The 25,891-nt window shown below is 45.2% G+C and overlaps 1 protein-coding gene and 1 long non-coding RNA gene across 13 annotated transcripts in view, besides 2 other annotated features; one reads left to right on the forward strand and one right to left on the reverse strand.

Annotated features, from left to right (window-relative positions):
- The window catches only part of MTUS2 (microtubule associated scaffold protein 2), a 685,985-nt gene that overhangs the window by 641,944 nt on the left and 18,150 nt on the right, over positions 1-25,891 (forward strand). For all 12 annotated transcript variants that reach the window (XM_047430227.1, NM_001384605.1, XM_011535019.4 and 9 more), the window contains one exon: positions 18,244-18,458. In XM_047430227.1, coding sequence (XP_047286183.1) covers positions 18,244-18,458 — 215 coding nt within the window. The remainder of the gene's footprint in view (positions 1-18,243; positions 18,459-25,891) is intronic.
- MTUS2-AS1 (MTUS2 antisense RNA 1) lies at positions 14,609-25,844 on the reverse strand. The gene is made up of 3 exons (NR_046378.1): positions 25,594-25,844; positions 22,963-23,400; positions 14,609-15,033 (listed from the first exon to the last, which is right to left on the reverse strand). It is a non-coding gene; the product is annotated as an MTUS2 antisense RNA 1 (long non-coding RNA).
- Positions 22,070-22,589: an enhancer, noted in NCBI's record as "H3K4me1 hESC enhancer chr13:30058113-30058632 (GRCh37/hg19 assembly coordinates)". NCBI's record gives its function as "activates a minimal SCP1, AML or CMV promoter by ChIP-STARR-seq in naive H9 embryonic stem cells {active_cell/tissue: H9 hESC(naive)}" and the evidence as "EXISTENCE:reporter gene assay evidence [ECO:0000049][PMID:30033119]".
- Positions 22,590-23,107: an enhancer, noted in NCBI's record as "H3K4me1 hESC enhancer chr13:30058633-30059150 (GRCh37/hg19 assembly coordinates)". NCBI's record gives its function as "activates a minimal SCP1, AML or CMV promoter by ChIP-STARR-seq in naive H9 embryonic stem cells {active_cell/tissue: H9 hESC(naive)}" and the evidence as "EXISTENCE:reporter gene assay evidence [ECO:0000049][PMID:30033119]".

The following is a 25,891-nucleotide window of genomic DNA, read 5'->3' on the forward strand; positions in this document are numbered from 1 at the left end:
ATGCTCATGTCTCTGAGCCTGGGGGAGGGATTCCAGGGGCTCAGATCCAGACCCAAAAAGAAGGAGCCAGGTGTCTGCTGAGGGAGCTGGGAGAAGGGATTTCCATGCAAGGAAAATCACAAGTACAAAGGCCCTGAGGCTCTTAAGCATCAGAACCACTTGGAGGGCTTGTGAAAATGCAGATTCCTGGGTCCCACCTCCAGTGTTTCAGATTCAGGGGAAGAGGGTGGAGCCCAAGAATTTGCATTTCAACATGCTTTCAGGTGCTGCTAATGTTGTTGGTCTGGGGATCCTCTTTTGAGAACCACGGGCTTAAAAGTGTTCAAGAAATGGCAAAGTGTGGCTGGAGCAGAGTGAACAGAGGAGAGGACCGAGAAATGAAGTCAGGAGGCTACAGAGTCCAGATGGTGCAGGACTTGGCGTTGACCTGAGGGAGGTGAGGGCTTTAAGCAAAGGAGCAACATGCTCCATCTATAGTCTTCAGAGTCGCTTTGGCTGCTGTGCTGAGATTAAATGGTACAGGAGACAAGGACTGGAACAGTGGAGAGAAAACAGTTGGGGCCATTGCAGTTATATGGGTGAGAGATAGTGGTGGCTGCAGCCAGGGTGGTGGTGGTGAGGAGGGGAGATGTGGCCAAATTCCAGATGTAGTGAAAAGGCAGAGCTGACATGGCCTGATTGCAGTAATTTGAAAGTCAGTGGGAGATAGGGAATTTGAGGCAGGGACAGGAGACCTGCGTTTGTTTTGTAAGGAAGACTATAAAGAGGGAGAGAAATGGAGGGTAACCACATAGCTAGAGGACATCATAGGAAGGAAGGCTGTGCTTTTGTGTGGTCTTGTTCTGCTTGAGAAAGATGAGAGAGACACCACCATTTGTAGAGGCTGTGTGTATGGAGACCGAGTGAAACCCCTAGTGCCAGAGGGAATCGCAGGGAATGAGGTGCAGGAGAAATTGAGAAGGTGCACCAGGCTGAACGACATCCCCGATGATGTCCTCGTTCTAGTCCCCAGAGCCTGTGTTAACCTCCTGTGGTTAATGGACTTTGCAGGTATGATTAACTCAAGGATCTTGAGATGGGGAGAGTATCCTTTGGGGCCCACTGGAATCATAATGCTTCTTGTAAGAGGGAAGTTATAGGCTCAGAGATGGAGAAGAAGGTGTGAGGATGGAAGCAGAGGTCACAGAGAGATTTGCTAATTTGCAGATTCTGCACTGTTGGTGCATCTGATGGAGGAAGGGGCCATGAGCCAAGGAATACAGGTGGCCTCGAGGGGCTGGAAAAGGGGAGGATATGTATTCTCCTGGGAGCCACCAAAGGGAGCACACCCCTGCTGACACCTTGATTTGAGCCTAGTGAGACCAGTTCAGGCTTCTGACCTCCAGGACTGTGGGGTCATAAAGAGGAGTTGTTTTAAGCCCCTAAGTTTGTGGGAATTTGTTAGAGCGGCCACAGGAGACTCCTAGAGAGGTCACAGGTCCAAGAGTGTGAGAAATGGTCATCAAGGAATATCACCTTGAATAAGACACTTCTAGAAGGAAGATTTTTTTTAGTTTCAGAATGAGGAACAGGAGAGCTTTGTGCCTGTTGACTTCAGTTTTCCCAGTGAAGTAGGCTCCAAGGGCACACGCCCTATTGGGGCATTTTGTAGCTGAGGAAGTTGAGGCCCAGAGCTAGGTGACTTGCCCTAGGTCACAGCCACCGAAGACCAGAGGTAGATTCAATCCCAGGTGCTCTGCCTCCTGAGCCCACACTGTTGACCACTTCACCACAGAGCCTCTTCTGGGCAAAGAAAAGGGAGCCTTCAAAATGATAGATGGGGTGGCTCATGCCTGTAATCCCAGCACTTCGGGGGGCCGAGGCGGGCATATCACTTGAGGTCAGGAGTTCCAGACCAGCCTGGCCAACATGGCGAAACCCCATCTCTACTAAAAATATGAAAATTAGCCAGGTGTGGTGGCACGTACCTGTAATCCCAGCTACTCAGCAAGCTAAGGCAATCGCTTGAACCTGGGAGGCAGAGGTTGCAGTAAGCCAAGATCGCACCACTGCACTCCAGCATGGGTGACAGATGAGACTGTGTCTCAAAAGAAAAGAAAAGAAAAGAAAAGAAACGATAGATGTTGGCTGGTGGAGATGGCGTGGTAGAGCCATTCCTGCAGACTCTGGAGGTCCTGGCTGCTGGCTGTGGACAGGATCTGAAGGTTGTGGTGTTGAGCAAGCCATTCTTGCAGATGTGGAAGGTGCCTGCAAGGAGGCTGGGAACAGGTGTGGAGAGGACGGCTGTGAGCAGGTGCCTGAGAGCAGAAAGGGATCACTCTGTGACTCTAAGAGATGTGGAGGATGAGAAGCTGAAGGCGGAAGCCTGGAAGCAAATTCAGTAACCTGAGACTCCACTAGCCAGGAGGGCACAGCCTCGGACCCAAGTGTGAACAAACAGTTCTAAGGCCAGGAGTTGGGGCTTAAGCCAGGGAGAGAGAACAGGAAGATCTAGAATTCAGACATGTAGGAGAGTCAGTGTGGCAGCCCTGGGCAGGTCCCTGTAATCAGTGATAGGGCACTGTCTGCCCTCTGCTCTGTTTTTAAGCAGCCTTCCTGGCACAAGTGATAAAGGCTGTTGGTATTTCACACACCAGAGCTGGCAGGGCTCTGTGGTCCTGAGTCCTGAGTATGGAGACCTAGGGCCTTGTGATTCCAAGGGTGGTCCCTAGGGCAGCAGCGTTACTATACCTGGGGGCTTGTTTGAAGTGCAGACTCTCAGATTCCACCCCAGCTAATTCACAACCTGAATTAGCGTCTGCATTTTAACAGGATCCTCCGATAATTGGTATTGCAGCTTAAGAAGCACTGTCTGCTTACAGCAGTGATTCTCAAAGTGTGGCCTCTGGACCAGCAGCATCAGCATCACCTGGGAATGTGTTAGAAATGCAGATTCTCAGCCCCTGCTGAATCAGAAACTCTGGGTATAAGGCTTAGAAATCTGTTTTAAGCAGCCATGCTAATTCTAACGCATGCTCGAGTTTGAGAAGCACTGGCTTGGGACAGGATGATGCGGCAGTTAAAGGCATAGATTTGAGATTCCACAGATTCAGGTGGACTTGGTTCTGCGCCCAGATTCCTCTTTTTTCATTTGGGAAAATTAAGCAGGAATCACACCTACTTCACAGAACTTTTGTGACGTTCAATAACCCTCTCTACACAGAGGACACAGTAGAGCAGCCGGCACAGAATGAGGGCTCAGTACCCATTAGCTGTGAAGCCATCAACAGTGAATGCCTCAGCTAATATTTATTGAATTACTAGTAGAGGCCAGGCATGGTGCTGAGCACTTACTATGAATTATCCCATTTAAACCTCACGGTAGCCCTAGGAGGGAAGTCCTGGTGCAATCCTCATTTTATAGATAAGGACGGTGAGGCTTAGAGGGCTTAACTCCCTGCACAGGAGCATCAGCTGGTAAGCAGTGAACAGGCCTCAAGCTCCAGTGCATTGGACACGAAAGCCCATGCTCTTAGACACTTGTGCTTTACTTACCGCAGCACTGGGAGAAATGCCATAGCTGGAGGCATCCCCGGTAACGCATTTAACACCAGGTAATCGCGTAGGCTACCCTTAAAATTATAATCTTTGCACACTAGTATTTCCACCCCATTGAGGATTTCCATGTCCAGCCCTGTTTCCTGCCCTGGGGTCTGGGTGATGCCTCATCTGGTCCCAACTTGTTGCTGTTTTTCCTCCAACTCACCATTCTTTCTGGCCTCACGTCCCAAAACTCCTCAGTCCCTGCTTGTTCCACTTGACCATCAGTGACCTTGGCAAGGGGCAGAGCCAGCCAGCCGGCATGCTGGGGGCTTCGTGAACATAAATACATTTAATCCTGGCCTCTGCTCCATAAGGTTGCATTACCTTCATTTTCTAGTTAAAGGTCGCTTCTCTAAATGTCCACTCTGTCTTTGTTACTAAGTTAGAACAGTCTGCCTGCTGGCAGGAAGCCAGGGCTGCATGGAGAAACCGCAACCATGAGTGCAGCAATTCCCGTGAATGCTGTTCTGTTCTAGATGCATTCCAGGAGGAGACAGTTACCAATGAAATGGGATTCACACCTACAGTAGGGACACACACCCATTAGCCAGGACATCCAGCATCTGAAGGTTGGACACTGTCCTGGAAGGGGTGTGGCTTTCCAATGCCGCTGTCTCAGACAGGCCTGCCCTTTGGGAACAGGCCACCTCCCACCTTTTGAGGACTCTGCAGGAAGGTATCTCCTTGCTTTGTTTCAAGTCAGCACATATTTATGGAAATGTGCCATATGCCTGGCATTGCATCAAGTGATAGGAATCTGTAGTTGAAGGCAGCCCAGCTGAGGTCTAGCCAGGGCAGTGGACAGACATTTTTATTAGCCATTGCCATCAACACACTCTTGGGCTATTGATAACTGCCTGAAAGCCTTGCTTCTTCTGTGTCTATGCCTAAAAGTTCCTGGGTGGAAACAATTCAAGGTGATCTCTTTTGTTCCTAGGAATCCGTTTGATGTATTTGGTTGTAATCAGGAGAAGCTGGGATGAGTTGATAAGGAAAATCATGCCTTTCCTGTTTAAAGTTAGGTTCTGTAGATTTAAAACATAAATCCATTCCTGTGCAAAATTAAAAGCCATAAACTGATGAGTAATAAAGAAAGACAATCATACGGCCAGGTGTGGTGGCTCACGCCTGTAATCCCAGCACTTTGGGAGGCTGAGGCAAGTGGATCACTTGAGCTCAGGAGTTCGAGACCAGCATAGGCAACATGGTGAAACCCCATCTCTACCAAACTACAAAAAATTAGCCAGGTGTGGTGGTGCGTGTCTATAGTCCCAGCTACTAGGGCAGCTGGAGTGGGACGATCACTTGAGCCTGGGAGGCGGAGTTTGCAGTGAGTTGAGATTGCACCACTGTACTCCAGCCTCAGTGACAAAGTGAGACCTCATCTCAAAAAAAAAAAAAAAAAAAAGAAAAGAAAGAAAGAGAGGTGCCTTCCACATCCTGTGGAAAATATGCTTTGCATTTGACAACCTAAAAAAAAAAGGAATAAAATTTTGAACCTATTACCATCAAATGCATTTAGATTTATTATCTAGCAGCCATTTGGTCTCCTACTCACCTAAGAGCAAATAAGGTCACCCAGACTATGGGATAGAGGAATGAAGTTAGCAACAGGCTGTGGAAAGAGGCCCTCCAAGCTGTGAAGCTTATTAAATGATTGGGTCACGGGAGTTCATTTTTTAGAACCCCACAGGGCAATTCTACATAGCGAAGAGTGGTCGCAAACTTAAAACTTTTGCCTGTGTTTAAACATTTTTCAGTCATTTTTTAAAAGCTCTTTCTAAAAGGGATGTTCAACATGGAGATGATGGTACCTTACAATTTATGTAACAAATATTCATTTGAGATAAAATTAAAAATCATTTTTTAATGCCACTTTGCACAGGAAAAAAAGAATTAAAACTAGAAAATGACCACTGCAATCACAGGGAGCTATTATCTGGCCTTTCCACTGCCCGGGCCTTCTGGATGGCCCCCATGTAGTGTATTATATGAACCGGTGCCGTGGAGATCTGAAAACTCTGCAAGCCCAAATTAACCTGGAGGAGAGGAAGAAATGGGCTCTCTGCAAAACCATTTCCTATTAAAGCCATTTCCTGTTTATGGGCAGTAGTGTTATTAGTTCTCACTTGGACAGCATTTTTTTTTCTTTGCAAAAACTCATAATTATAACCATCCTCTTAAATCCATTTCCCCTTTCTTCCTTTGCCTCCATAAATCATTCTTGTATTTTTCTCCTCTCAGACCAAGAAGGTTATAACCTTGCAATTATATTCGCACACAGGATCAGTCATTATCCATTTGTTGAAATGCTTATCCTCTAGTTTAAGAATGCATAAAATGCGGCCAGGCGCAGTGGCTCACGCCTGTAATCCCAGCACTTTGGGAGGCTGAGGCAAGTGGATAGCTTGAGTCAAGGAGTTCAAGACCAGCTGAGGCAACACTGAGAAACCCTGTCTCTACAAGAAAATACAAAAATTAGCCAGGTGTGGTGGCGCACACCTATAGTCCCAGCATCGGTGGTGGGAGATGAGGTGGGAGGATCATGTGAGCCCAGGAGGTGGAGGCTACATTGAGCTATGATCACACCACTGCACTCCAGCCTTGGTGACAGAGGGAGACCCTGCCTCAAAAAAACACAAAAAAATCCCAAAAGAGTACATAAAATGGCCAAGTATTTATTACTAAAAAAGAGCTTTAAACTAATCAGGATTTTTATTCTGCTTTTCCTTATATTTCTTTGTTTCCTTTCTTCCAAAGCATATGGCAGAATAACAATATTTTTATTCTTCAAAAGAGCATTACTGAGGCTGGGCACAGTGGCTCACGCCTGTAATCCCAGCACTTTGGGAGGCTGAGGTGGGAGGATTACTTGTGGTCAGCAGTTCTAGACCAGCCTGGCCAACATGGTGAAACCTTGTCTCTACTAAAAATACAAAAAGTAGCCAGTTGTGGTGGCGGGCACCTGTAATCCCAGCTACTCAGGAGGCTGAGGCAGGAAAATTGTTTGAACCTGGGCTGCACAGAGGTTGCAGAGAGTTGAGATTGCATCACTGCACTCCAGCCCCGGTGACAGGGTGAGACCCTGTCTCAAAATACACACACACACACACACACACACACATTACTGAGATTTGAACACCTGGACTGAGTCCTGGCTTGTCTCTTTCTAGCTGTGTTAGCTTAGATGAGTCACTGAACCCCTCCAAGCCTCTATTTCATCTAGTAAATCAGGGGGAAAATGCCTGCTTCACCCATCTTTGCAATATGCAGTGAAGGTTAAACAAATTAATATTGTGTGTTAAGAACCTTTATAAACTATGAAACTCATACAGATGCCAGGCATTGATATTGCTATGAATTCCTCATGTCACTGGGACATGAAGTGATTCTGCAAAAGCATGTTTGTCCTGTAATTGAAGCTTATCTCTTCAGGGGCCCATTTTGGAAGGAAATTATAATAAAAACTGGTACACCTTTCCCTGTTAGCTTTAACAGACAATAGTGGATGTAATAGATACCCCTGCATCATCACAATACCCATAGAATTTTAGGATGCTAGGACAGAAAGGGGCTGAATACTGAAGGTGCCCAACCTCCTCGTTTGACGGATGAGAATGCTGGGCCCCTGAGAGGCCTGTGCCTTGCTGAAGCTCCCATGGCTGGTGTGGACGGAGCCTGGGCCAGAGGCTCCTGCCCCGCCTCTCCTGCCTGGCTTCTGCTTTGTCCTTCTCCCTCCTGTGACCACTCCCCTTCCTGGACTTTTCACTTTTTCCACCCACCCCTTCTAATCTCTCTTTATCGGGAAACTCTGACCTGCAGGATTCAGCGTACAGTAAATTCTTTAAGAAAGAAGGCGGCCAGGCGTGGTGGCTCACGCCTGTAATCCCAGCACTTTGGGAGGCCGAGGCTGGTGGATCACGAGGTCAGGAGTGGAGACCATCCTGGCTAATGCAGTGAAACCCTGTCTCTACTAAAAATACAAAAAATTAGTTGGGCGTGGTGGTGGGCGCCTGTAGTCCCAGCTACTGGGGAGGCTGAGGCAGGAGAATGGCGTGAACCTGGGAGGCAGAAGTTGCAGTGAGCCAAGATCGCGCCACTGCACTCCAGCCTGGGCAACAGAGCAAGACTATGTCTCAAAAAAAAAAAAAAGAAAGAAAGAAAGAAAGAAGGCTGGGTGCAGTGGCTCACACCCATAATCCCAGAAATTTGGAAGGCCAAAGCGGGAGGATCGTTTGAGCCCAAGAGTTACAGGCTGCAGTGAGTCATGATTGTGCCACTGCACTCCAGCCTGGGTGACAGAGCAAGACCCTGTCTCTAAAAATTAATAATAAAAATAAATAAAATTTAGTTTTTTTAAAAAAAAAAGAAAGAAGGGGTGAGATTTCAATGCAGCACTCCTGACATGGATTAGGGGATCTGGAGGCCTCTGTAGTCATCCAGTTTGGGGTCTGTGTTCTCAAAGTTTGGCTCACAGGGAAGGAAAACATCAGTGCCCTTTAAAATGCCACCTTGATAAGAAATATTTATGTATTTTTTACATCCCATCCCAGACTCCTAATGCCCAAAATGCCCTTCACCTTAGTACAGCCAAATCTCAAATATCCTTTCACAAACTGTTTACAGACCCTCAGGGAGAAAAACACAACTATTAACCTACCCCACCGCACTGGGGGAGTTTAATAACTAGAGTCCATCCTGAGGCTCCATGCTTTTAATAACTCAGTACTGTATAAAATACACCACAGCATGTGAACCAGGTGATACTATCACTAATCATGAAAGGCTTATCAAAATTTAGCAGTCTTGAATTTTATATTTTTCATACTAACTGACAACCTCTAACATCCAGAAACGCCCTTCCTGAGGATTGTGACCCAGAGGGGAATTCCACTGTAAGATTACTGTCTGTCCTGCACCTCCCTCATCCCATCCATAAGCAAGTCAATTTGTCTTTGCCTCCCAAATGCATCCCCCATCAATCCATTCCTCCCCATGCAACAGCCTGAGTCCAAGTCATCACTGAATCTCACCACCTGGGCTCCAAACACATTCTCCTCACTGATTGCCTCGCTTCCATCCTTGCCTCCTACAGTCTGTTCTCCATGCAACTACCAGAGGGATTTAAAAGCTTCATTCGTTCCTGTTATCCCGTTTGATACTCTCTGGGGACTTTCCACTGTTACCTGAGCATAACCCTAACTCTTTTGAGGGGCCACAGGCCCTGCATGATAAGTCCCTACCTTCCTCTGGAACTTCACCTCCTTCTGCTCTCCTCCATGGGCACTCAGGCCCCACTGGTTGTCTTTCTCTCCGCAGTATGCTAGAATTTTTCCCATCTTAAGACCTTGGTACTTGCAGTTCCTTCTAACTGGGACTCCCTTTCCCCATCTCTCCACATTCTTCTCTGTCATTCAAGTCTGTTTGAATGGTGTCTTCTCCGAACAGCCTTCTTTATCCACCCCAGCTGAACTTGCCTTCCCCTTTCCCCGGTCTTTCCCTAGCCTTGCTTCTATTTCACTTTCTTTACTGCACTTATCTAAAATTTTTACTATCTGAAATTTTGCTTCCTGGCGGGGCGGGGTGGCTCACACCTGTGATCATAACACTTTGGGAGGCTGAGGCGGGCAGCTCACTTGAGGTCAGGAGTTTGAGACCGGCCTGGCCAACATGGTGAAACCCCATCTCTACTAAAAATACACAAATTAGCTGGGCTTGGTGGCGCGTGCCTGTAATCCCAGCTACTCGGGAGGCTGAGGCAGGAGAATCGCTTGAACCCAGAAGGCAGAGGATGTTGTGAGCCAAGATCACATCACTGCACTCCAGCAACAGAGCGAGACTCCATCTCAAAAATAATAATAATAATAATAAAATAAAATGAAATTTTGCTTCCTACATTTTTTGCTCATTTGTTTGCCCGCCATGACAGCATCTGTTCTCCACTATGCCAAGAACTATGCTTGTCACACAAGAGATGACATAAAGTCAACGCCAGTTTATTGACTGTTGGCCTGCCTATCTGAACACAGATACAAAAATGAGGATAGCAACTGTCCTTGCCCACTGCTGCGGGAGACAGACAGGTAAAGAGATGTGTTGCAGTTTACAACAGTGGTTGTTTTTAGGAAGCTATGGTGAGGCATTGTCCTCCCTCCCACTATTACCACACGGGTGCATCATGGAGGCCCCCACTGGAGGCGTGGACAAGAGGAGAGGCTTCAGCTTATGCTCCAGCCTCTGCTCTGCAGGCCCAGCCCCCCCCGACACATTGATCTTAGGTCACTTAGTTCCTCTTTCTGAGCCCCTGCCTGCTCTTTGCAAATGGATTAGGCTACTTACGGGACCCCTAGTAGGCTTACTGTGGGTAACGGTATGAGGCAGGTGCTTGGCACCCAGGAAGCACTCGCAGATGCCACCTGTGATTTTCACAGCGCCAGCTCCCTTTTGGTCACCAGGCCCGAGAGATGCTGCAGGGACCTGCAGAGATGACAAGAGTCCCAGTGACTCCTGTTCTTTCACTCTTGGTCCATGAACTTTCTGTTGTTTTTCTTTTTGAGATGAAGTCTTGCTCTGTCACCCAGGCTGGAGTGCAGTGGCATGATCTCGGCTCACTGTAACCTCTGCCTCCCGAGTTCAAGCGATTCTCCTGCCTCAGCCTCCCAAGTATCTGGGATTACAGGCACGTGCCACCAAGCCTGGTTAATGTTTATATTTTTAGTAGAGATGGGGTTTCACCATGGCCAGGCTGGTCTCCATCTCCTGACCTCAGGTGTTCTGCCTGCCTCAGCCTCCCAAAGTGCTGGGATTACAGGCGTGAGCCACCGTGCCCAGCCATGGTCCATGAACTTTCATCCTTCATTTTCAGCCGTTCCTTTCTCACTTCTTAACATTGTCATCAAAAATCAGTAATTAGAGAGAGTAGGGCTCTACAGGGTAGTGTGTCCGGGATCCCAGGCAGCTGTGTTTCATGCAACCCACCCTGACCACCTTGCGGATGTTCCTGTGACCTAACGGGTTTGGACAAAGACATTTGCCACCAGGGGGCATTTTTCAGGCAGCATAGCTCCGCCTGGTGGTCACAGGTTTGTTACAAGGATCTGTGCCACCAAAAAAGAAAAACTACACTGCATAAAGATGCTCATAATATCTAATCCCATGTAATTTTACACCTAGGAATGTATCCTAAATGAAAAAAGCAAAATGATATATGGGTGAACATGTTTGTTGCATTTGTCTATAATGGCAAATCTTGGAAACAAACTAATTGTGCAATAATGAGAGAATATAAATTGTGTTACACGAACATGAGAATATAAAGTAGCCATAAAATGTTAGGTAGGAAGACATGGGAAATTCCTAACAGGATATTAAGAATTCACACCACTGAAATGCTATGAAGGGATTACACAATTTAAATTTTCATTTTCTTTGTGTAGTGACATTAAGGGTAATTTTTTAAATTAAATTTTGTCCTTGACAGTTATTTTGTCTTTTCAATTACTCCCAATCTCTTGAAGAAACAACTTAATCTTTTATCTAACTGTGGTATTGTCTATCATCAGTATGTAATGATAGTGACTATTATAGTGACCTAAATATGTATAATGTGCATGTAAATATGTAAATAATATATACTATATGTGTGTATATATAATGGTAACATGTATATATATTATATATACACACAAAGTATTGGTTCATCATTTATTTTATAGCTATTATAAAGCATTTGCTATGACCTAAAAGGCCACATAATATTCTTATTTAAGATTTTATTACGAGCTGTAGAGCCAGATAGTTCTCTTTTGTTTCAGTCTAGTTCCGTAACCACCTATTTTGGCTGCCTCTTTGGAAAACCAATGTAAAGTTACAATTATGCAGAAGACACTTGGGACAGTCGTTGAGAGCAAATTGATCTTACTCGCTGAGTGTTCTCCTACTCAATTTATGAACTGTGGTTGAAATTAAGCTTGTCTTATAAATGGTTCCAACAGCAATTTTACTCTGCTGTTGTTTCAAGGATCACACTACATCTTACTGGTTTACACTAAGAAGTTGGTAGATTGATATCTTTATATATTATATATGTCGGAGGATGTTCAGAATGCAGTTTTAATAATATTTTAGGTATTTTTATATCAGATGTGTGTGTATTATTCATTGTCAATAATCATCAGTTATTTAAAACTGTACAACAGATTATAATCCTACTTTTGCTTTTCAAATCTATGCTTATAAATTAGAAATGATATATTCTCTTGGCCAATCATAATCTGATTATTTGAATATTTATTTTCTCAGCTCCCTAGATTGTAGGGGTTTATGATAGTGGTGTCTGCCTTTCACTCTAAAGGATTAAATGTTTTTACGTGAGTAGAAATAAATAATGAAAGTGAAACTCCAGGTGTTGTCTAATGCTATTAAATTAGCTTACATTAATCTCTGTCTGAAAAGTGCCCAAATAGATAGACTTCTGAAGGTTTACTAGAGGCAACAGGATATTTATTTCTTTAGGGACTCCATTATTGGAGCCATTTCCCCTGGTGCCAGCTGCTCTTATTATCCAATATTTTCTACAGGCCTAGGGCTTACAACAGAGAGCCATTGGAAGAATGTAAGCATCACCTCTCATTTTATAATAGCAATTGGGAATTTGGGGATTGGAGCTATATGTGCAAAAAGTGATTACTTTGCCACTTTATAGACAGCAAAACTGAGGTGTACCCAGTTTGTGATTTATTTAAGACAACAGTGCAGTTCAGGGACAGCCCTAGAATGAAACCCAATCATTTCTGAGCCTCTAGTAGAGTGCCTGGTCCATGAATCGTCCTATCACTGACATGGATAAAACTAAGTGAAATTGAACTTTTACCAGAACTTTTGAAAACCCAGACTTCTCTTTAATTATGACAATAATTTTAAAAATCTTTTTACTTCTAAGTCATGCAAACAATAAACAGGGATTTAATGAAATATATATCATGACAGGAATTCAACATACAGTGAATCCCTGTACCTTGGCACCCAACCTCCCAAAGGAGAAAGAGTAGAAATATAGATACACTTTTTATCACAAATGTAATTTTACAATTACACTGTTTTGCTTGTTGCCTTTTCTTGGTTTAACAATATATTACGGAGGTCATTCCATGATACTACAAAAAGATTTGCCTTATTTTTTTTACTGGTTATCTATATCCCATTGGCACAGGATTCAACCTACTCATCATAATTTGAGTAGCCCCCTACTAGTTCCCTAAGGCAAATTATGCTATAGTGGTTGTCCTTGACTCAGATTTTTGTGCACTTGTGAAATTATTGTATTAAAAGATATGTGTCATTTAATTTTTTCATCAATGTGAATAAGTTGTTTTTATTCATTTATATGTGTTCTGTCTGTTTTATTCCACCTACACAAGCCAACTTATTGCCTTGATCTTCTGGAGTTAAAGCTACTGATCTTGGCACGTGATAAATAATTTTTTCCCATGCAAAACAGTACTTTCTAAAAACAAAATAAATGATTAGCATTTTTCTTATTATTTTCATTTGAGTTTTATGTGCTCAATGTATCTCTAGCTAAGAAGTGGTAAGAATGATTCCTAGGTTCCATGTACAGCCATGCACCACATAACAACATTGCAGTCAACAACAGACCTCATGTACAAAGGTGGTCCCACAAGATTATAATGCAGCTGAAAAATTTCTATCACCCGGTGACGTCAGAGCCTCATAGCACAATGCATTACTCACATCTTTGTGGTGATGCTGGTATAAACAAACCTAATGTGCTGCCAATCGTATAAAAGTCTAGCACATATAATTATGTTTAGTACATAATACTTGATAATATAAATGACTTTGTTACTGGTTTATGTATTTACTATGCTATATTTTTATAATTATTTTAGAGGGTGCTCCTTCTATTTATTATAAAACAAAATTTACTGCAAAACATCCTCAGGCAGGTCCTTCAGGAGGTACTGCCGAAGAAGGCATTGTTTTCCTAGGAGATGACAGCTCCATGGATGTTACTGCCCCTGAAGACCTTCCAGTGGGACAAGATGTGGAGTTGGAAGATGGAGATATTGATGGTCCTGAGCCTGTGTAGGCTTACGCTAATATATGCATTTGTGTCTTAGTTTTTAACAAAAAAGCTTAAAAAGTAAAAAAGTAAATAAAAATTTTAAAAATAGAAAAAAGCTTTTAGAATAATGATATAAAGAAAAACCATGTTTGAACAGCTTTACAGTGTATGTGCATTTTAGGCTAAGTGTTATTACAAAAGAGTCAAAAAGTTTGAAAAAATCAAAAAGTTTGTCAAGTAAAACGGTTATGGTAAGCTGAAGTTAACTTATCTTGAGCACAGAAAAATTTTTTTAAATAAATTTAGTGTAGCCTAAGTGTATGGTGTTTCTAAAGTCTATAGTAGTGTACAGTCATGTCGTAGGCCCTCACATTCACTCATCATTCACTGACTTACCCAGAGGAGCCTCCAGTCCTGCAGGCTTCATTCATGGTAAGTACCCCGTGCAGGTGTACCGTTTTTTATCTTTTATACCGTATTTTAACTGTACCTTGTTAATGTGTAGATATGATTAGATTCACAAATACTTAGCATTGTGTTATAACTTCCTACAGTATTCAGTACAGTAACATGCTCTACAGGTTTGTAGCCTAGGAACAGTAGGCTACACCATATGGCCTCGGTGGGTAGTAGGCTATGCCTACACTCCATGATGTTTGCACAATGATGAAATTTCCTAATAAAGCATTTGTCAGAACGTATCCCCATCATTAAGCAATGCATGACTGGATATCCATATATGTATATATGTATGTGTGTTTGTATATACAACAGTGTTGTGGTAGGGTTTTCATTGTTTTATTTTGCCAGCATTTATCTTCACCATTGTTATCTAGAGTTTTAAAATCAGAATATGAACTTTCCTTCTATAAAAACATCTAAATTTATCCTCTGAGATATATTCCATGTTATGTTAGTTTTTTAAAAATGTTCTTCCTCTCTTTTGGTAAAAATTTTATTGAGATATAATTCACATACCATACAACCCACCCATTTAAGTATACAATGTGGTGGTTTTCAGTATATTCCGAGTTGTGGAAAACTGTCACCACAATCCGTTTTAGAACATTTTCATCACCCCTGAAAGAAACCCAGATTCTTTATCTCCCACCCATAATGCTGCCATTCCTGTCATTTCAATTTTGAAAGATATCTTTTCCCTCCAAGGCAGCTGGATTAGTTATATTTCACCTGGAGTCCATCGAGTGACAGTTTCCTTATACTCTTCCTGTATTATCAGAACATTTCATCTTTATCAGCCTTGCAGGTGAAAAATGATTGCCTGCTTCCATCTGCAAGGGCACTGACCGTCTTTTCATGTTCTTGGCCGTTTGTGTCGCCTCTCAGTGAGCTTCTTGGTAAACCTAAATACAAGCAAACACATCGATGTCACTGCTTTAGTTATCCCATCCACAGGTACATGATACGTGAGGCAAAAGCCACTATGAAGCTACTGCACATTGAATTTTAGAGGAAAGAGCACTTTGCAGACAGGCCCCGTGCACTGGGAAGTCCACATGGAGCTTGTTCCCTGGGCTGCCCTAGTGAGCAGCAGGAGCCTGTGTTTTTGTCTGTAGGGTGACTTTGTGCTTTCTCTCAATGTAGATAAAATTCTTGCTTCTCTACTTGAATTAATTTGACTTTGTGTCAATCTGTCAATCACCGTTTTTTAATTGACATTCTATGGTCTTTGTTCTATTCTCTCAACACCCAGTCATCTCAGGATAAACCTATCTTTATATATCTACCTCTTACCTCTTCTGTGATTCCTAAGAGCTTTGTTCGCTAGCTCAACTCCCTGGTGGAATCCTGATTACTTTTTCTTAGTTGGAGGGTCTTTAGGGAGAGCTGGAGCTCAAGTAAGCTGGGGTCACAGAACTCCTGGGAACAGGCATGTCCTCACCCCTGCCACCACACCTGAGCCACATTGCCTATCAGTCATTGTTCATTAAGTTCCTTGTGTGGGGACTGTAGCCTCCAGTGATCAGAGGAAGGGGAGGACCCTGGGGGTCCCCTGCCACAACCTCAGTACAAGGTACCACAAAGTCTCTGACCAAGTCTGCCTTTCATACTAATAATTATTAGCAGACAAGCAAAATGTCAGCTTCCTACCTGTGCTCTGAAGCTTGGTGCATTCCATCTCTTTGTTCCTTAGAAATACCTCACCTAAAAGATCTACTTGCAGCAGATGTGACAATTATATATATATATAATTGGTCCATTTTGGGTATCAAATTGGACCATTTTTAACACCTTGTCTTCTATACCACAAAATTATTTTCAGCATCACCATGTAATAATCAGTAATACACATTATTTTCCTGACTCACTACATAAATAATTTAAAAAGAAGAAATTTCCATTTTCACGATAATATTTAAATTTATTAATTGAGAAGAATTCAGTGCTACTTCTGTAATATTCCTGCCAAACAGGCATAAGCTCAATGGGATAAGAAGAAAACATCAGATGCACTAAATTCAGAAACATTCTACAAGATTCCTGGCCAGTTATCTTTAAAATAGTGTCCAGGTTCTAAAAGTCAAGGAAAGACTGAGGAACTGTCCCAGCCTGAAGGAGACTAAGGAGACAGGAGCCTCCTTTGGTGCAACTTGTGATTCAGGGCTGGATTCCTTTTCTAGAAAGGACGTCATCGGAGTAACTCGTGAAACTGAAGTAGGTCTGAGCACTGGGCAGCACTATTGTAGCAATGTTTCTTTCCTGATTTTCATGACAGTGCGGTGGTTAAGTTGGGGAAAGCCCTTATTTGTAGGGAATGTACATGGGGAGATATGAGGTTCATGTTCAGCAGGTCAGCATCTTACTCTCAAATGGTTCCAATTATACAATAATGTCCTTGTACTGTACTTCTATGTTTTCTCTGTGTGATTTAAAAAATAAAAAGCCCTCAAGAGTTCAAAAACCTGAAAGGTAAGTCACTGTAGCAATTGTTCAGAACTTAGAGCAACAAAAGCCTTTTTTGAGGAGGAGTCTTTTTCCATCAATATTGTTTAGAATTATTGGTGCACGGCGCTAATCAAAAGCCAGGGTCTTTTAAAGTCAGTTTGTTTTTCGCTTGTAAATTCTCTACCTACAGCGCATCTCCTTACTGCCTACACATGGAATGGAACAGCTCCAACCACTCTGCCCTCGGTGGGCCCTGATTGCATTGGGAGATCAGAGTCCTCCATTAAATGATGGGATGTGGGACACTGGCCCAATGGAAGCCCTCGGGTAGGATAGGAAGACCACTGGGGACAGTGTTAGGCTGCTGGGCTGTGTGAAGGATGTTAGGACACACCCTTCACACAAGGGCAAGGTGCCTGTGTAATATCTAGCGAATCCATCACTTATTTCACCAGAAGAAGAAAACGTTAACATCCCTTATGCTAATTAAACTTTTCAGAGCCAAATGTGGCAAAGAAGCCCTTTAATTAGCTGCCTCTATAGCGTGGGACTTCTGATTAGGGTGTTTCAAATGCTATCTAGCAACCTTGGATGCATATTCCTGTCATCAGTAACCACCACTAGGGTGTGGATTACAGCTAATCAGCACCTGTACCTGCTCAACTCTATTTTAACGTAAATGCCAATGTCTCCCCAGTTCGTAGCACAGAGCAGCGAGCATGGTAGACCTTTGTAGAATGTAAATGATGTGTCTGTGTAGCTCGGCATTTGCATTTGGGTGTGTGTGGAATCGGTTCCATTTGACCTAGATGTAGTCGATTGTCAAGGTCTTGGAAGCAGGTGTGCAGCTCAGGGAGAGGTCTTTAGAATGGAAGCACTTGGCTTTTGCCCACAGCACAGGGGAGGCACAGACACTAAGACAGAGCAGGCTTGGAGAGTGAGCTCAGGCAGGAGCGATGGTGGCCGCTGTCATTGCCTCATGCCCTGTTGTCAGCTGGCACACCTGAAGCAAACCATGAATCTGTGATTAGGGGTGGAGTGTCTATGCAAAAGAGATACCGAGTAGAAAACTTCAGGGTACCTGAAAGGAAACCCCCACACCTGCTCTGAGATCATCCTGTTTGGCATTTTAGCTAGAAGAGAATAGCCTTAGGCGCCAGGCCCTATTCCTATCTCCAGCTTCCATAGTGTGCAGCTCTCAAGTCTTGATGGACGTAAGAGTCACCCAGGGGTTTTGCTAAAAGTTGAGATCCTGAATTCCTGCCTCATGGGCTCTGATTCACCCAGGGCGTATTTCAGAGTCTACATTTTTACCAAACGCCCAATATTTTTTATGTCTGTGGACCACGGACCTTGTGACAACCTGCCCTAGAGGCCTTGCAATCAGAAAGCCCAGATTTGCCTTCCCAGCTCCTTCTCCAGCCGCTGGATGACCTTGGGCAAGTCTCCAGACCTCCATGAGGCTGCAGCTTCTCAACATCCAGGGTCTGTTGTGAGGATCTAATGGGTGGAAAGGAAAGCACTTTACAAACTGTGTAGCCCTGCAGAAGTCAGAGGACCTCGCCCTGTTTATTACGCCAGCCTTGATGATCTGACCATGGAGGCTGAGTCCTTCCCATGCCTCCTACGGCCATTTTTTAAAGAAAGATCTTGTGCTTTGCGCCCAGCCTTCCATACAGCAAAGTGCGAGAAACTACAAAAGGAGAAGGAGGAGCTGGAGAGGCGGTTCGAGGACGAGGTGAAGAGGCTGGGCTGGCAGCAGCAGGCCGAGCTCCAGGAGCTGGAGGAGCGGCTGCAGCTGCAATTCGAGGCGGAAATGGCGCGCCTGCAGGAGGAGCACGGTGACCAGCTGCTGAGCATCCGGTGTCAACACCAGGAGCAGGTCAGTCTGCAGTGCGGCTCGAGCTCTGCTGTTGGGTGATGCAGGTGGCGGGCGGCGGGGATCCAGTGCCACATTAGCAAGAAGTCCTATTCAGTAGGTGAGCTTTCTGAACAGTTCACTTTCTGAGTTGCTTTCTCCTTTCTCCCCGCTCCTCTCTTCTCCTCCAGCCACTGTGGCCTCCTTCACTCTTCCTCAGGGTTTTCACACTTGCTGTGCCCTCTGCCTGGAATGCTCTCCCTCTAGACAGTGCATGGCTGCCTCTTGCCCTCCCTTCCAGACTTTTCTCTGTCACCTTGCTCAGTGAGACCTTTATCCAAAATTATTATTCCTCCCCCAACCACATACACACTCTTTCTGTCCCCCTCCCAGTATTAGTGTTCCTTCAGCACTTATCACTAACACATACATTTTTGCTTTTCTACCTTATTTATCATCTTTCTATTCCATGAGGGCAGAGAGAATAACAAGCAAACATGTATGTAGCACTCGTCCTACACCAGACACTGCTCTAAGCTCTTTACAGGAACTGACTCATGTAGTCCTCACAGTTCCCCTAACGAGGAAGGTACCATTCTTATTCCCATTTTACACGGAAGAAAGCCAAGCCCCCATGGTTCAATAATTTGCCAGAATTCACAGAGCTGGCCATGGAAAAGCCAGGGTTCAGCCAGTCTGGTTCCACACCCCTGCTGTCAGCCACTAAGTTAGAATTGCCTGCCAACTCTCCTGCTGGATCCTGGCACCTGGATCCATGCCTGGCAGAGTACCACACAATATCCATTTGCTGAATGAAAGAATGAATGCCCATGGTTAACCTTCGCCCAGAAACCTTACTGGAGAGGAAAATGCATCCATGGACTAACCAGAGGATAATTCCCAGGGAGCTTGTCAGTATGAAAGCTAGAAGGAGGCAGGTGCTGCCACCCCCACGGCAGCTATCTTGTCCATGACTGCCGTTAGCGCTGATGAGAGGCAGGCGGACGATTCAGTGTACCCCCCACCACCACCCCCGCTTCCATGAGCACTGCTGCTCCTTTCTTTTCTCTTGTTTCTAAGTTCTCCAGCTCCGATGGCTTCGTCCCCACCCTCTAATTGGTGTGTTGCTTTATATAGTGTGCTTATGATATGCTTAAGGTAAGTTGACATTTGTGAAGAGCACCCTTTAAATCTCACTTGACATTCAGGTTAGTGTCGAGTGGCCTTCATTGTCCGAAACCCTTGGGCTACCCTCCTCGGCTGCTTCCAAATGGACATCTCAGACGACAATACCCACCCAGCCCTCCCACTGCCCCAGAAGAGGCTTGTGAATCTTAGGGGACCTGGGAGAAATTTCAGAGTAATACTAATTACTGTCATGGTAATAAAAACCTCTCTTACTTTATGGCATTTTGTTCTACACAGTATCTCAGGTTAGTCATTCTTCTTTCCTAGAGGCCTATAAAAGCCAGACACACCTCCCTGTTTGAGGTGGGTTAGACCATAGAGACTATGAAACAGAATAGGTTACAGCTGAAGTTACCTGTTGGTGTTAAGATGAGAAACTGAACCCCCGGTGTCGTGCCTCCCAGCCTGTCTGCATGTAACTCCAGTCAGTAGACATTTGCACGTGCTGCTGTCTACAGTCTTACTCATTTTACGGCCGCTTTATACATCTCAAACCTGGTATGAATACCAGCTTGTTCTGTGCCTCTGTATCTATGGGCTATTCATTCCCAGTTTTACACAGAACACGTTTATACCCATATTTACCAAAGGCCTCTGATCTGAAGGTCTGAGTTGGTTGAGACGACACCAGAAGGTGAGGAGGAGACGTAAGAGGTGGTCCGCAGGCAGGAGACCCTGAACGAAGCCTCTCGTGATGGTGCCCTGGAGCTGAGGCACGGCTGAGGGGAGCATCTCCACTCAGGGGCCAGGACGCCTCGCTGAGGCCTCACCTATGCAGAAGCATGTGCCGAGAGATGTGCTTCACCTCTTTTTAAAGCCGGGACACGGCGGCCTTTTAGAGATTTCAAACTGGAGCGATGAAAGGAAAGAAGCCCTTGACTTTTCCACACGAAAATGACTTACATAAGCTACCTGGGCATAATTCAAACACGCTCTGTTGTATGAGAGCCCTGCGCTCTGTTCATGATCCTTTATGATAGCAAAAGCCATTTATTTATTTACTCATTCACCTGTGCAAAGAATATCTATGGAATGTGCATTGTATGTACGCAAAGCACCATGACAGGATACTGCAAGAGATACTAAGATTTATAAAATGTGGGCTTGCTTATCTATCCATTGAGGAAGCTTCGAGATAAGTGCCCAAGGAACTGTCACACAGGTGAGAAATGCAGACAGGGTGTGGAGGAATTGAGAGTTTCACATCTTATCCTCACAGCTGGAAATGTCAGAAATCATATCTGAATGCTTTACATTTGACTGAATCTTTCCAACACAAACCCATTGGTTTGGGGGAACCGGAGAGTGAAGCCTGTGAATTATTCAGGCCCCTGATTCTGCTCCTGCTGCAGAACGTTGGCTGTTTCCCCAGGCTTCAGTTTCCCTAGCAGAGAACATGCAGGAAGTGAGGAAGATGAAATGCACCCCAGGCCAACAGTCTAACTACCAGATAGAATCAGTGTTTCTGTTTAGTGGGAGAGGAGACTCAAGGGTGTGACTGAGATGGAGATTAGGATGATCCGTGGTTTCAGGGTCCATGGTGGACTCTCCACTCTTGGGGCCTCCTTCTCAGGGACGGTTGCATTGGGCAATGCTAACCCCACAGATAACGACATCTCTGTCCTTCTGGAACCTTAAAAATCAGGTTCACTGGCCTGGCATCTCCTCATGACCCAGTGGCCCCCAACATCTGGCAGCAGGGGCAGGTGCTGCTTCAGTTCTGACACGCAGGATTTTCTGAGGCCGCAAATATCACTTTACTCAAATTGGGACTCGCCGGCCGAGGCAGGCTGACCTCCGGCTTTGCAGCAGCACCTCCGTCGTGACAAAGCCAGCCAGAGCTGCTTCTTGCTTGGCCCCCCGCCATCTCACAGGGCATGGGCTGGCTCTCTGCCCACGGCATGTGCTCCGGCTACACAGGTGGGTCACTTGGAGAACTGGTTAGAACACCGCTTCTCAGCCTGCCCTGACACTAATTGAATCAGAATCACTGATGAGGCCTGGCAGCGGGTTGTTTTTGGGCCCTCCCAGGGAATTTCTGTGTACAGCCAGGGCCCAGAACCGCAAGCATCACGGGAGCTGCAGGACCCTGCTGGCTCGAGTTAAGGACCTGAGGGAGGGGCGCTGAGGGGGACCTGAGGGGGTGGTGTTGCCTCTTGGCTTTCTTAAGTGAGTTTAAAGACAAGGTATAACTCTTATTTTAAAGGTGCAATTATAAAGGTGTTTAACATGTGAAAGCCAGCTCTCCTTCTGTAGCAAGCTGCACATTAACAGATGCCAAATTGCCACAGCTTCCCTTTGTCAAAGCACGCAAAACAGACTCACTGTAAACACACATGCATTTTCCTTTTTTGCCCCAAACATGTTCGGCCCAGCTTCCAGCCCTAGTTTCTGGGCTGCCTTTGGCTGTCCCCACACATAGGCAGCCACAGAGCCTGGCATGCAAAGATCAGGCTTGTGACCTTTGACCCATTCCTCCAAGACCCTAAGTTTGTCTTACTCCACAACTTGCTCCAGAGCCACTCACTTCAGGGACTGCCAGTCTGGATGCATGATGATTCTGCTCCATCAAGTCTCAGCAGAGATTCCTCCTCCATAGGGAGCAGCAGAGCTCAGCCTTTGGAGTTTAAATTTGCTTTGTCTCATATCCAGGATACACCTTCTATGCTTTCGTAAGGAAATCATTTTAGACTAAATGACTAAAGGAAGAGCATCCCAGGATTAATCCAAATTCACAGAGGCCACTTTGTCCCTCATCTGCATTATGCCTCCTTAGCCCTCCTGCAGAGCAGGCTCATAGCTGCCATGCAGCGGAAACCACATTCTCTCTAATCAAATAGAAAGAGATCCCTGGGGGCCCTTGTCTCTCAGCACCAGAGCCTGCCATCACAGCCCAGAGGTTCCATGCTCCGGGAGGAGGCGGTGCAGTGGAGATGGCGCCTCTGTCAACACCTGCCTGTGTGGAGGGCTGCAGAGGGGCAAAGGCACAGCCCCGCATGGGATGACAGCAGACTGGGAGCTCTGGCATGGCTCTGAGCCGGTGTCCAGGATACTGTAAGCCTGGACCAAGTGAAGGAGGGCCCCCTCGTTATCTAAAAAGGAAAGTCATTAAGAGCGTGGGAGAGAGTGGGCCTGGGCAGCCTCCCTCTCTCTCATCCCATGTAGGATGGGCGCAAATGGGAGTTTAATCTGGTTTGGGTTTAATGAGTAAAGCTGAGACAATGTAAAACACACGTTTCTTCATTTGAAATCTAAGTCTTCTCTAAGTGACTTGCCAAAGCCCTAGATCATTGCATTTTGTAAATGGCTAAATGAAGTCAACCCACAGCTGTATTCTTACCTGTCTGAGAGGGTGGTCTTCCAACCCTGTGCTCTGCTGTCCGTCAGCCCAGCTGAATAGCAGGCAGCTGCGGGAATGGAGTCGTGTCACAGGGAACAGCTGGTTTTCCATAGAACGAGGACTACTGCCGTGTTGACAGACACCTCCATGGCCCAGCCCAGAACTCTGTCTCTGAGGAGGGAGGAGGACAGCCCAGTGGTGGTCTAAGGGGCCTCACCAGGGTTCTAAATGGAAGAGAAGGATGCTTCAGCCAGCCCGAGTTTGCCATAGGCCATAATGGTCGAGCACTTTTATCTTTGATTTGGTGATCTTCAATGCATAGAAAGATCTTGTGCTTTCCTTGGGTCAGCTTGTTTAAATCTCCTCCAATTCCTTCTGGTTCCAAGGTCCTCTCAGGCTGGGAATTCTTATTGGCTGCTTCATAAATGTGAACCTGTGCTGTAGAAAGAAGCCAAGAACCATAGGAGAAGACGTTATATGGATTAATACTATGACAAGAAAGAGGATGGCCAACAGTAGACAGCTCCTTCCTCTTTGAGATAACATTTTTTAAAAACCATAAAGTTGCATGAAACCTGAATTACTAAAGAGCGGGGATTATTGTGTTCAGATTTTTTGACTCATGGGCTCCCATTAGTTTCCTTCCTAACATACTGGGCATTTCTCTAATTCCATATGAACTTTTGGAGTTAAGAGGTCAGTATTTCATTCATAAAAGCACCTCGGAAAGGTTGTAAGGAATATATCATGCCATTACATTACCCTTAATACAATGGGCGTGGTATTCCATCACCAATGACTCAAAGGCATACCTTCCAGCAAGCCAGAATGGCATACATTGATGCCACAAACACAGTGTAGTACTGCCAGTCAGGGCACATCCACCTCCTGGGACTCATGGGACTCTTCTGAAACTTAGTTCTTCCATCTGTCTGTCTTTTCTGAAACCACTCATGATCATTTGTGTAAGCACCGAATAAATTAGAATCACGCCAAGGGCCGATGAAAGGTTTTTTGCTCTCCTGAACTGTGTAGCAACCCTCCAAACAGTGTGTGGGGTGGGGGCGGGGGAAGCGGGGGCCTGTGTTTTTACAGTGTGCCATGGCCTAAGTGACACCTGTAATGGAGCAGAAAGAAAAGATATTTCCTTTTTTAAACCAGTGATTTATTTTTCCAACAGATTGAAAGGTTTTGGACAAAGATTCCATGAAAACCTCCTATAAACAGGAATTGGACAATTAAATACTGTTGTAATCAGCCTTTCTCCTGGTGGGTTCATAGCTCTGAGCTTCAAGTAAATACGGTTTGATCAAGAATGGCCTTTAAATGGGAGTGAGCCATTGTGCACCACGTCCGTTCTCACACTGCGATGCAGCTTTCCTAATGCCATGGGTCTGCTGTAGGTTTTGCTCAGTGATATTTGTTTTAGTGGATGAAGTTCTCATTTACCATAAGAGAGAGAAGTCAGGATAATTGTTTGATGAAATTATAGTATGCAGAATGGGAAACCACCCTTTTTTAAAACAAATATATCCTCACGTGTCAACTTCACAGTCAGGCTTCCTTTCTTGGGGAGAGCCCTTTCTCCATTCAGATCAAAGGTTAGCCTGTGAATTCTCCCCCAGAGAAATGTGGGAGCCCAGAGGTGGCTGAATATGACCAGCTAGAAGCAATGTCTTCTTAACTGGGCCACCAAGGAGCTTCAAGACCAGTGCACATTTTCTAGTTCAGTGGTTTTCAAATGCCAAGTTTTGATGCATTATTAGCTTGTGAAATAAATGTAGTGGCCTCTAACTAGCGTTTTGTAAAACAAAGTAAAATAGAGGAAACATTTTTAAACCAGATTTTTCCAAATGGAAGGGGAAGTTTTGTTTTTGTGAAACTTTGGTTTTGGGTATGGTTGTGTGTGGGTGTGTGCACTGTGATATTGTGTACAATGGTGATTTTTACAGTGGATCACTGACAGAGAATTTGGATAAACACCGTTGTAGTGCATCCAGGAGAGATTTGCAATCATAGGGAGAGGTCGTTTTAGACAATTACTCCTGCAAGTCATACATTTGAAGTTAAAACAACAGCCACAATGACAATAACAAAAACAGTAAACCTGGTAGGCAGGCAGGTGAGGGGTAGGGGAGGGGGTCAGGAAACATGAAAATGAAGAATCCTGGACTGGACTGGCTGCACTACTTGCGATTAAACTGCTAGACGTGTTCCTGCAGCTGGGAGGCAGCAGCCCTTCCCAGGAGCACCACATTGCCTGAGCAGAAGGTCCAAGTTATAATCTGGTGGGCAACCTTATGTTTAAAAACAGACACACAGACCTGCCAGCCTCACCTGGTATTGGCGAGAGAATCCTAAGGTGTTCGTTGCTAGTCTTGCTTGGGGGAGGTGAACACAAAACAACAGTGCATTAGAAAGAGCCTCGCCTTTGGAGTCAGACAGACCTGGGTCTCACTGTTAGCTCTGCCATTTATTAGCCCTTGGGCAAAACGTTTCATATTTCTCTTAGCCTCAGTTTCCACATCTGTCAATTGGGCATAAAAAGATATACTTCATAAGGTGGCTCTGAGGGTTAAGTAGAGTAGCCTATCTCGGACAGCCTAATAAGTATTCGTTCCCTCCACTTACCTTGTGTACCGTAGCTCCCCCTGCCACTGGGAAACAGACCACCTCGTAGGGAGGACGCTTTTCTTTTCCTTTGCCGTCATCGCTCATAGCGGTGCAAGCGCGTGGACAAGCAGTGGGAAGGGGATGGTCCAGGAGCCACACTCAGGACTCTAAAGAGGTACCTCAGGCAGTGATCCCCTGCCTGGAGTTGGACCCCCCTACAAAGAGCCAGGTTGTGGCAGTGACCTCCCCGTGATTCCGAGGGCTGCCACATCACCACCAAAGTCCAGCTCTCCTGCTTCGGCACAAGGCTGTGACT

This window comes from Homo sapiens, chromosome 13, assembly GCF_000001405.40.
Source record: "Homo sapiens chromosome 13, GRCh38.p14 Primary Assembly".
NCBI lineage: Eukaryota > Metazoa > Chordata > Mammalia > Primates > Hominidae > Homo > Homo sapiens.